General features: G+C 43.8%; 2 protein-coding genes across 5 annotated transcripts in view; one reads left to right on the top strand and one right to left on the bottom strand.

The window, feature by feature from the left end:
* The window catches only part of LYPD1 (LY6/PLAUR domain containing 1), a 28241-nt gene extending 22146 nt beyond the window's left edge, over positions 1-6095 (top strand). For all 4 annotated transcript variants that reach the window (NM_001077427.4, NM_001321234.2, NM_144586.7 and 1 more), the window contains one exon: positions 3101-6095. In NM_001077427.4, coding sequence (NP_001070895.1) covers positions 3101-3336 — 236 coding nt within the window. In that variant the 3' untranslated portion in view covers positions 3337-6095. The remainder of the gene's footprint in view (positions 1-3100) is intronic.
* Positions 2799-12235, bottom strand: part of GPR39 (G protein-coupled receptor 39) — a 229778-nt gene continuing 220341 nt past the window's right edge. Inside the window, exon 2 of the mRNA NM_001508.3 lies at positions 2799-4280. Coding sequence (NP_001499.1) covers positions 3775-4280 — 506 coding nt within the window. The 3' untranslated portion in view covers positions 2799-3774. The remainder of the gene's footprint in view (positions 4281-12235) is intronic.

Here is a 12235-nt window from a genome sequence, read left to right as displayed (position 1 = left end):
ACTCCAAACATCAGCCTTTCCAAATATCAGTCCCTCTGCCCCAGCCTCACCACTCAGCCCCATCCCATGCCTCTCAAAGGAGGCACAGTGTTATCTCCACCACGTGGATTTTCATCAAAAAGATGAGTAAAATGCCTTTGTTTTCTGAAAGCCCTCTTTAATCTCAAATTTCCCCATTTCTATTAGCACAACACCTCCTACCTGCTTCCTCTGCCACTGCCCAGTTTAGAACTAGCACACTTTTTCTTCTTGAATGTCTCCAAAGCTAGCTCCTCCATACCCTGACACCAGCCAGTTGCCTGTCACTTACCTTGATGCCTAGGTCCACATTTCCTTTCATCCGGTTGGAAACATCTTTAATCACATCCAATCTCACCCAAAGCATCTCTCGTGCCAGTTTCCAGACTTAGATTTTAACCAAGGGAGGCTCATAGAAGCCCACAGCTACCCTGAGCCTCATGACCCTCATGCCTCCTCAGGGTGCCTGGCCTGGAGCGGCCAGCCTGGCAATGGACACACCTATCTGACATCAGACACCTTTCCCCATCCTCCCTCTTGGAACATCTAGTAAATGCCCCTTATGGAGCTGTCAACCTTCCCCTTCAGAAAGCCTCATTGTGGTGCCCTCAGTTCCTGAACCACCAACTTGAGAGCTTGTACCTCTCCCCAACTTTCCTTATGAAGATAAATTGTTTCTGACTAACGACATGAGGGTCTTAGCAGTTGTAAAGATTATGGCTCTGTTAGTCCATCTCTTCATAAGGACATGCACTATTTATCCAACTAACCTACCTCATCACTGATCCTTAACCCTGCAAAGTTCGCCTTAAAAATAAGCTCCCAGCCATGTCACTAAATAAAAATGCAAATTGCAGAATAGCGTATAGGATGTGATACAACTGTGTGCAAACACACGGACTTTATTTCTCTGTGGGCATATATGTAAATGTACAGAAACCAGCCTGGAAGAAGGCATGCCACACTGATGACAGCATCTGCCTCTAGGGGAACACGGCGGAGGGCCTGGAACAGGCAGGGGTACTCAAGGTCCATTTTCACCTTACTGACTGAAATTTTATACAGAGAAAAATACATTCAGTAAATATTTTTTTAAAAGTTTAAAAATTCACTTAAAGAAAAAAGGTCACTGTAGTGGAAGTGGCAAATAAATGCCAGTTAATGTTTTTCATACTTAGGAATAAAAAGAGTAGAATGATTTCCTAAAAAGGGCCATGGATGGCAAATGTAGAGACTATGGGCAATTCCCTGAAGTGTATTCCTTAGAAATCAAACAGTGCCTCCCACACATAGATACAGGCATCCTCTGTACCTCGACTTTATCTTACCAGAGCAGCTGCCTTCCAGGATTTTGTAATGGTCTTAGAAAATCAATCCCTACAAACATGCAGTTAGAGGGGAAAAAATGACATAAAATTGCATGTTTTACGGTAAATCTAAAGTACTTCTTTACCTCCCACTTGGAAGTTTTAGGCAGTTTCATTCCTTAATGTTTCTATAGCACCCAAAGTGGCAATTCTCGAGGACGGAGCCAAAACCAAAACCACACCTGCCCACATACCTGCAGGAAAGGAGTGGGTAAGGAGCCCCGGCTGCTGGTGGGATGCTATATCCCTCAGCTGTGCAAGGCAGCAAACAGGATTAAGACCTGTTAATTCTAAGTCTAGCTTTAGTATTAAACACTATCATCTATCCAAAAAAAATAATTCATTGATATAAAATAGCCACATATGGCCGGGCGCAGTGGCTCATGCCTGTAATCCCAGCATTTTGCGAGGCTGAGGCAGGCGGATCACAAGGTCAGGAGATCGAGACCATCCTGGCTAACACGGTGAAACCCCATCTCTACTAAAACTACAAAAGTTAGTCGGGTGTGGTGGCGGGCGCCTGGGCGACAGAGCAAGACTCCGTCTCAAAAAAAAGCCACATACATACACAACAAAAGCTATCTTCAAAGTAAACCCTCTCCCCCTAAAAAATCCCCGGTTATTTTTGTGGTTAATTGGCAATCCAATTTACTGCTATACAGTAAACACCGTCTTGACAGCATGGAGCCAGAATGCTGGGTTCAAATCCCAGCTGCTCCACTTCCTGTTCATGTGACCTTGGGCAAGTTACTAAATCTAGCCCTGAGGCTTCACATCTGTAAAATGGGGGTAATCATGAGGGCCTCCCTTGTAGGATTGCTTGGGGTAGTGAAGAAGCTGACACGCTAAGGGTGTCTGAATAGTGCCTGGGAGACAGACAGGGAAGCCCTTAAATAAAAGTTTAGCTAGTATTATTTGAATTGAATAAACTTCCACCTTATGATTAAGACACCCTAATTTGATGACTGACTATACTGCAGCTTGACAGGACACACATGCTCTTTGAGACAGGCCCCCTAGTCTTCTTGGGAAGCTTTTTTTTGCACCCAGTGTGTGTCATTGAGTGCTAGCTGCGTGGTACTGGCTTGGCAGATGGCCATGTGTCCTGACGACAGAGCGTTTCTCCTTAGAATAAGACTGTGAGGGACACACGGTCAGCCAGGTGCCCCTTCACTAAATCCCGTGGAAAACTCAGGGCCCATTCAGTAGGGATACATTTATTTCCCTTCGGGATTTGGTCTGTCTTCAAAGAACTCCAGGATTTCATCAACACATAGTTGAGAGCCAGCGCTCTGTGGCCGCTTATAAAGCAAAATGAGATAAAATCTAGAAGCACTGCTTGTGGGCCTCACTGGCATGAGACAGTTTGAACCAAAAACAAAGTAAATAAAAAGCTGTGTCTTGTACACAGTGTGAACTCTGACTTAAAATGTAAATAAGTCTATTTAACAGCTCTTTATTAACAGGTATTCACAGGTATTGGCATCTCAAATCGCTTTTGGAACAGTTTTGTTAAAACTAATGAAATAGTGCCTGTCTCTTTCACCATCTATCTTGAATATCAATGAGACAATCCGAAGCACTTCCCTGACCTCACCTAGTCTCTGGGCTGTGGGAGGAGTAAGGAAGAGCTGTCCGTTTGGATTTGGGCTGAGAGGGACAGCTATTCTTTTGCCGGTGCACGTTAACTCAGCTCCTTTGGGTCTGTGTTACAGGGATCATGTACCGCAAGTCCTGTGCATCATCAGCGGCCTGTCTCATCGCCTCTGCCGGGTACCAGTCCTTCTGCTCCCCAGGGAAACTGAACTCAGTTTGCATCAGCTGCTGCAACACCCCTCTTTGTAACGGGCCAAGGCCCAAGAAAAGGGGAAGTTCTGCCTCGGCCCTCAGGCCAGGGCTCCGCACCACCATCCTGTTCCTCAAATTAGCCCTCTTCTCGGCACACTGCTGAAGCTGAAGGAGATGCCACCCCCTCCTGCATTGTTCTTCCAGCCCTCGCCCCCAACCCCCCACCTCCCTGAGTGAGTTTCTTCTGGGTGTCCTTTTATTCTGGGTAGGGAGCGGGAGTCCGTGTTCTCTTTTGTTCCTGTGCAAATAATGAAAGAGCTCGGTAAAGCATTCTGAATAAATTCAGCCTGACTGAATTTTCAGTATGTACTTGAAGGAAGGAGGTGGAGTGAAAGTTCACCCCCATGTCTGTGTAACCGGAGTCAAGGCCAGGCTGGCAGAGTCAGTCCTTAGAAGTCACTGAGGTGGGCATCTGCCTTTTGTAAAGCCTCCAGTGTCCATTCCATCCCTGATGGGGGCATAGTTTGAGACTGCAGAGTGAGAGTGACGTTTTCTTAGGGCTGGAGGGCCAGTTCCCACTCAAGGCTCCCTCGCTTGACATTCAAACTTCATGCTCCTGAAAACCATTCTCTGCAGCAGAATTGGCTGGTTTCGCGCCTGAGTTGGGCTCTAGTGACTCGAGACTCAATGACTGGGACTTAGACTGGGGCTCGGCCTCGCTCTGAAAAGTGCTTAAGAAAATCTTCTCAGTTCTCCTTGCAGAGGACTGGCGCCGGGACGCGAAGAGCAACGGGCGCTGCACAAAGCGGGCGCTGTCGGTGGTGGAGTGCGCATGTACGCGCAGGCGCTTCTCGTGGTTGGCGTGCTGCAGCGACAGGCGGCAGCACAGCACCTGCACGAACACCCGCCGAAACTGCTGCGAGGACACCGTGTACAGGAGCGGGTTGATGACCGAGCTGAGGTAGAAAAACGTCTCCGAGAAGGGGAGGAGGATCATGTACGCCCGGAAGTAGGACCTCGTCCAGTCGTGCTTGGGTTTGGCCGCAGCCATGATCCTCCGAATCTGGTTGGGCATCCAGCATACGGCCAATGTCACAACAATCAGCCCTGGGCAGACACGAGCAGGAGGGAGAGACAGAGAAAAGAAAAACACAGCATGAGAACACAGTAAATGAATAAAACCATAAAATATTTAGCCCCTCTGTTCTGTGCTTACTGGCCAGGAAATGGTACCAATTTTTCAGTGTTGGACTTGACAGCTTCTTTTGCCACAAGCAAGAGAGAATTTAACACTGTTTCAAACCCGGGGGAGTTGGCTGTGTTAAAGAAAGACCATTAAATGCTTTAGACAGTGTATTTATACCAGTTGATGTCTGTTAATTTTAAAAAAATGTTTTCATTGGTGTTTGTTTGCGTATCCAGAAAGCAGTTCATGTTATCCATAAATCTGGTTTTGTCTTTTTTTGTTTTAAAGAAAAAGATGTATACATACAGTATAGCTGCATTAGATAAAGCAGTGTTTGTATTTTAAAGGATGTCTGCACAAAGAAGACCTAGTGATATTTTTAAATCAAATGGAAGAAGTGTCCCTTTGGCAACAAAGCAGCATATTTAATGACACTGGTTTTGCATTCAGTTTCAGGGGAAGCAAAGTCAGGAATAGCCTGTCGCCAAGAATGTTTTTTGGACATATACATACTAGGTATGCACACCTATAATCATGATGCTCATATCTGCAACAGCATATGTGTTTCTTTTCAGACACTTTTAGATCCCTCATGTGGGGAAAAAGAATTATTCAGAGATGGCAAATATAAAACTTCCTTCTAGTTCAGCCAGTAACATGTTCCCTTCCTTTGCAGCACTGAGCTGTGCTGTCAACAGCCCAGAAGCAATCAGGCCCTAGAGAAGAGACCACTCAAAGGCCCTTCTGTAGATCAAATGTTTACTGCATGTACATTTGTTTGCATGCCCACATATTTGTATTCCAACTTAAGTAACCACCACCAGTTCTGCAATTCTGACTGACAGAGATAAAGATGCTACATAGACCACAAACAACTGAAATCACAGGTATCATGAGAGTTTAGTTACAGTGACAAAAGCAAAAAAGAACAAAGGAAGATCAGGGGATCTGTGAAGCATTTGCTCTCTCTTTTCGTAAGGAGCCAAGACACCCACAGTAAATTCCCCTGTAGAGAGCTGCTACCTTAAAGCAGGATTTGCATTTTCAGAAATGCTTCCTTCCTCTCCTACATTTCAATCGTAGTAAGAAACATTTACTCACATTTTCAATCTTCTGATTTTCTAGAAACCCTAGGGAAGTGACAGTTGGCAATGAATGCTTCCTGCCTATGACCCATGGTAAATATTCTATTAATAAATGGGGGCCAGACATGGTGGCGCATGCCTGATATCTCAATACTCTGGGAGGCCAAGGCAGAAGGATCACTTAAGCCTAGAAATTTGAGACCCACCTAGGCAACATAGCAAGACCCCATCTCTACAAAAAAAGAAAAACTTAGCCAGGCATGGTGGTACATACACACCTGTGGTCTCAGATACTTTTTGGGGGCTGAGGCGGGAGGATCACTTGAGCCCAGGAGGTGAAGGCTACAGTGAGACACGAATGTGCCACTGCACTCCAGCCTGGCTGACAGAGTGAAACTGTCTCAATAAACCAATAAATAAATGCTCCAGGAAAAAACAGCCACATTCACACATCCAGAATTGAGCCTCCTGTATGCACTGGCCTGAGTATTCCTTGCCTGCTGTTGGAGGGGACCCTAGCTGTGTTCAAATCCTCCACAAATCCATATGTGAGCAAGGAAGGCCTTGGAAACTCTTCTCCTTTGTTAATTTCCACAGGTTTCTCCTGTCAACTCCCAGCCTAAAACTTTGAAATATAAGCCAATTTGTTTATTTTTTCCTTTGAGTTTGCTATCCTGAGAACATCCAGTAAATCTAAAACTAAAATAAGTGAACTAACATATTGATCTGATGAAAAAATGGTTAAAAAAATACCATCTTAATTCAAGAGTTTATTCTGAATCACCTAGTTACAGATGCTGGATAGGAACAACAACAGCAACAACAAAAATTTCTGATTTTAAAAAAATACATAAGAAATCCGGGACTTTTCTCCCACTTCGAGGAGTACAGGTGTTCCCAGCCACTTGTGCTATTCCAAATTCATCTTAAGTTCCTGCTCCTTGTTTGCATCTCATCCAGCTCTGATTGAGAGGCTCATCTCATTAATTGTGAAAGAACTAGGAAAAAGACCATACCTGAGGAAGCCACATATTTTCACAAAGTTTTGCATTTTTTTTCTCTTTCCTGTCACTGAATTTCAGAGAACATGTACAACCATCTTCATCTGAGGAGTTATTGCCCAGAATATGGAAATTGCACGGTTTTAGATGTGAACTGTGCTACACCATGGGAGGTTGTACTTCAGGCGGTGAGAATCCAGAAAGGCAATTAGAAACACCTTGTACTAACCATGAGCTGAACATAGCACAGCTTTTAAAGCCAACAGACAAAGGCAATGAGAAGATAAGGCAGGCTTGTGAAACAAGGGGAGAGAATGATAACATTGCTTTTCTTCTGCCCTGTCTTTGCTCCTCATTCTCTTGATCTGTTGTTTACATGACCCTTACTCTTCTGACAGCTTCCCACATGCACTGGCCTGGTGTCAACTGTCCTTCACTGATCATCCCATCAAAAGCAGCAGAGTTCAGTAAAAAGCAAGACCCAGCCTCCAGGTACAAGGCAAAGGCAGGGGTAGATAAAGAGTTGTGGTGTTGTTTGTAGCCAGGATAAAATTCCTGCTCTGAAGTCAAAAATAAGTGGGAAGAAGCTCAGTGTGAACAAGTAACAGAAAACCAACTCAGAGTCACAATGATGAGGCAAAGAAGGGGAAGTTTGGTTTTCTGGGTGTAAAAGTAGGTAGATATAATAGCAAGAACAAACTTGTAGAACAAGAGAGACAAAGACCTGAATTAGAAATGCAGAGATTTTCATATTGTGCACCAGATGGGTGTTTTGAAATAACCTATAATAATGCAGAATATTTATTACTGAGTTTTTCCTAAGCCAGTTTCTGTGCTAAGCACTCTGCTAATTTCCCATGCATTTCTCACTCCTGACAACAACCTGGAGAGCTTTGACCTGGTGAGGTCAAAATAGTTATTCTCTTAATTTAACAAATGAGGAAGTGCAGGCTCAGAGAAAGTTAGTTGCCCAAGTGCAATAGCTAGGACACATCTTTGCCAGACTCCAAAATCCATGCTGTGTATTTTTTTCTCAAAACACAATATTGTTTGCTATTCATACTTTCAGTTTGAAAAATACAGAAACACAAGCAAGAAAGTAAACACCATAATTCCACCATGTAAAATGGATATAGCACAGTGCTGTTCACTGGAAATACAGAATGTGAGCCATATATGTAGTTTTAAATTTTCTAGCAGCCACATTCAAAGAGAAAAAGAGATGGGTGAAAACAATTTTAATACTGCTGTTTAATCCGATACACTCCCAAAATAATTATTTCACATGTAATTTCAACATGCAATCAATATAAAAATTATTGATGAAATGTCTTACATTTTTTAATACTAAGTCATTGAAACCCAGTATAGGTTTTACTCTTACAGTATGCCTCAGTTGGGAAGAGACACATGTGGCTAGTGTCTACAGTATTGGACAGCACCCACTAAAAGAATCCTTCCTAGCCCCTCCCCAGAGCAGCAAGGCTCCCCCTCTTCCCATTCCCCCAACTGTCCCTTTAACAACCACATTCCAGAGAGTTATATCAAACCAAGGAAGCCCCAAGGAACCTCCCACATAGCCTGTATTTGTTACACTACAATGCAACCAATGCTGAATTAAATCTCTGAGTATGCATTCTCAGCTATAGCGAGGAACAGGGTTAGCCAGTCTTTTCCTAGAAAGCCTTCCATATAAGGGAACTCTAAATCATTTAAAACTTATATAATCCTGAAAACACAAGGATGTATTTTGCATTTCTCATTCTAAACTTTGCCTAGCTATCCTAGAATAATGCAGATCATGCCAACTACTTGGCAGGGCTGTTGGGATAAACTTCCCCTGCCTCAACTGGAGGTGGGGAAAATGGCTGGCGCTTTTCTTCCTGTGTTTTGAAAGATAGTTTTGCTCTAGGAAAATGGAGCATTAGGCATACAGGTACAGCCAATGACAAACATGAGACATGTACCAGTGAGCACGGTAATGGAGGTGAGCCTCTCAGGGGAAGAAAACCAAATTTGACCCCTTGTAAAATTTGTCATTTTATAATGACAAGTAATTGCTCATTTTTACATTAAAAAAAGTTTGTTGTTCTAGATGATACACCGTTGAGAATAAATACTGCATCCCAAGGTAACTTTCTATTCTGGCTGTTTGCGATTGGCTCTACTCTAGCCCAGCTACCCTGTGGCTAAGACAAAGCTTTAAAGTCTTATTCACGCCCTAATAGAGTGTATTAAAGATTTGACTAAATGCATGTTTGGCTGCAATCACAATTTGGATTTGTATATCACATCTGGAAAAAATCTATAATTCTTTGGTCTGTGTGGTGTAATGTGCAGCCCACAGTTAAATAACTTTAGTGTGAACTTGAATGAAGATCAATGAACTGAACCCACTCATGTAAAGCAGGTAAACTGTTTTAACTGAATTACTGATAGATCTGTATTATACTCCAGACAGCCTTGCACTCTGGGCTATGAAATACCTTCTTATCTGGTTTTCCACATAAAGTACTTTCATTTTTCCTCCTTGATCACTACACTAAAATGACAAGAGCCATTAGATGATGACACAGATTCATTCTTGGCAGAGTCATGTTGTTTAAAAAACAGAAGAAATGCAGATGTCTAACAACACCCTGCACTGAAGCCTGACATTTCAACAGCATTAGAGGCAGCCTGCTTGGTTTCATCTTAAGTGCATTAAGCTCTGCAGGCTGGGACATGGTGGCATTGATGTATCTGACACCATGCTCTATTTTCTCCCCTCTAACCTTTAAAGTCAAAGTAACTACTAGTGTGTTCCCCAGAATTCCATCTTAGAGTCATTAGAGATCAGGAGATCAAGAGGAGACCTTGAGACCAGCCTTGTAACTCCCTTGTCTTACACATGAGCAAACTGAGGTTAAGTGATTTGCCCAAGATCTCCTGGGGCCAGGGTGGTCATACTACTTAGAACACTGGATTGATTCTACCCTCGATTGCCAAGCAAGCCCATTATTTTTTTTTAACTGTAATTTTAGGGTTTTTTTCCAGCTTTAGACTCAAGTGCTGACCATTGACAGCATGGGATGCAGCAAGTGGCATGTCTATACAACACCTTTCCTATGCACTGTCTTGCTTCAGTTTTAGAAGCGGGTCCTCCAAGAACAGGCATTTGGCAAAACTCTGGAGAACGTTTCCTGCTCAAAGGAAGGTAAAGTCCCAGCCCAAGGGAGCCAAAGAAGATTAAAACAAAATATTACTTCAGGTCATGACTTGGTGACCTAGCCTACAATGACTCCATCTGTCTATCTATCATCTCTCTTCTACCCATTCATCCGTCCATCCATCTTACATAAGTACCTACTAAAAATGGATACTTAGCTTGTATTAAGCACAAAATATCTGGAAAGTTGATCACCTCCCAAGCAAAGATATTTTGTGTAATTTAAATAAATTCCCAATATTAGCTTTTCTACTTACTGTTGGAGTCCCATTTTATGGAATCATTGAAGCCTTGAGGGTGCAGGGGTATGTTGATGATGATTTAGGATTTCTGTGATTATTATGTCTGCTCTGTCCTCCTCCTGCCTGTTCCTGTCTCTATTTTTCAATTTCTCTCTAATCCTGACCATAGTGAGCAAGGGTTAGACATCTCCACCTCCCCACCAGCCCCCAGCCCTTATCCCCCTTTTATCCCCCCATTCAAGTTCTCTGTACTTTGCTTATTTACTTGGCAATTGCTTCTTGATGGCTGGGGCCTATTAAGGATCCTGTCCTAGGGACTGATGATACAAAGCTGAGCTGTACAAGGTGGCCCCAGCCTGGTTTTCTAAGGGCTAGGAGAATGGTCTGAGCCGAACAACACTGCAGCAACAAGAGCTGGATAAACATTCCCACAGGCAAGAACATTCACACAGAAAGTTAAGGAGAGTAAGAGTCAGCCTGGAAAAGGGCAGCACCAGCAGAGACAGGGCATGAGCAGGGGATGGAGAAACACAAAGGCAACTTACCTTCTGTGAGCTGCAAGGCTCAGCGTGGTTGCAACAAAAGGGTGGGTGGGGACAGTGGGAAACCAGCATGGTTAGAGAGCACTCCATCAGGCTTTGTGGACAATAAATTAACTTGCATGTAGTAGGGTGAGAAGCATCTGCTTGTCAACTGACATTTAAATAGCAATTGCCAGTGGAAAGTAAGCATATGGTTAGTTGAATGAAGAGCCAGAAAGAGACAAATACATCCAATAAAAGATTTTAGCACTTTCTCAATTTATATGTTAGTGTTTGCAATCTGCTTCTGCAAGTCAGCTGAGATGTTGATCTCACTCACTGACCTTGTCTGACCCGAGGCGTCCAAATCAGCACCAACCTTGGTTTAGTCTTTAACGGCTGAGACAGAATTCTCAAAGGAGTGTTCCCTGGAACAGCAGCATCAGCGCCACCTGGGAACTTCTTAGACATGCAAATTCTTAGGCTCCAACCCAGATCTCCTGAATCAGAGACTCTGAGGGTGTGGCCCACAATCTGGGGTTAACAAGCCCTCTGTTGACTCTGCTGCTCACACAAGTTGGAGAACACTGGTCTAAGAGAAGCATAAATTGAGGTGGAGCCCCTGGCTCAGTGGGCACTTGTAGGGACCCTAGCACTGTCACTGAAGCCTTTAAAGCATCACATTTTCATCAGTGTCTACAGTCAAAGCAGACGGTAGCTCCAAACTCCCTCCCTCTGGTTCCACTCCTAGACAACCGTCCTGCCAGTCCCACTTATTTCCACACACAGCTCTTCCTCATCCTGTCTTCTTTCTTCTCCTATCCTTTCTCCCTCTGTCTCTTTTTCCCTCCCCTTTCCTCTTATTTTTCCCCACCTTTCCTTTTTTGCTTCCATTTCTCCTCTTTCTGTACATGTTTCTCCAGTATGTAAAGCAATCACATCTCTTTTCTCTTCTATTTTTCCCTCTTGCTCCCTACCCATCTTTATTCAAGATCACCACAAATCAAGCCATGTGCAACCATTCCCAGCCCACACCTCTCCCTTCCCATTATTTATTCGGATCATCTTGAGAAGGCAATTGGGTCAGCTTCAAGCCAGTTCCTTAATAGCTAACAGGGAGGTGGCAGAGAGGGCAATCTCCGCCCATTGCTGAGTTTGTCAACGGAAGGCAGAGAGGCATTGGGAGCGGCATGGATGGGATGCAGTTGACCATGGACTGACTGCACCTTCCCTGAGAGCTAAATCCAGGTACCATGTCCTCTGACAAGGTCTAAGTCCAAGCTAGGACTTTCTTGGAAACTTTGCAATCACTTTTCTAGTGACCTGCAGCTTGGAGGTCTTCGTTTATGCAGATCTTCCTTCTTGCCCTTTTTCCTACTGAGGAATTTCTTTTAGAAGACAGAAGAACTGTTGGGATTTGGTTTTCAGAAAGGCGCAGGCCACAACTTCAAAATGATGTAAATGCCACAGATGGCTGCCTCTGTCCATGAAGACAGACGGTTTGATGTCTCATCCTTGTTCCAGCTGTTTGATGGAGCCCAGGAAAGAACTCTCTCCCCAGTGCAACTCCATCCACCACGTTGAGGCCAGAGGCCTCTGAAATGTGCCACAGAAGCCAGATTCCAAATGGGCTGCAATTTGCTAAGCATTACAGCTATTTCATTCTGCTGTACAAGCTTCAGTACAAGAAGAAAAACTATCAATCACTACCATAACAAACACATATTTCTAAAATAGACCCTCCTGTCTGGAAGCTGTAGGACAGACACTTGCACTCAAAGTAAATGGAGTTTAGGGTCATCATTGTGGTTTAGTGCTC

Source organism: Homo sapiens, chromosome 2 (assembly GCF_000001405.40).
Source record: "Homo sapiens chromosome 2, GRCh38.p14 Primary Assembly".
Lineage (NCBI taxonomy): Eukaryota > Metazoa > Chordata > Mammalia > Primates > Hominidae > Homo > Homo sapiens.
This window is presented reverse-complemented; position numbering and strand designations above follow the sequence as displayed.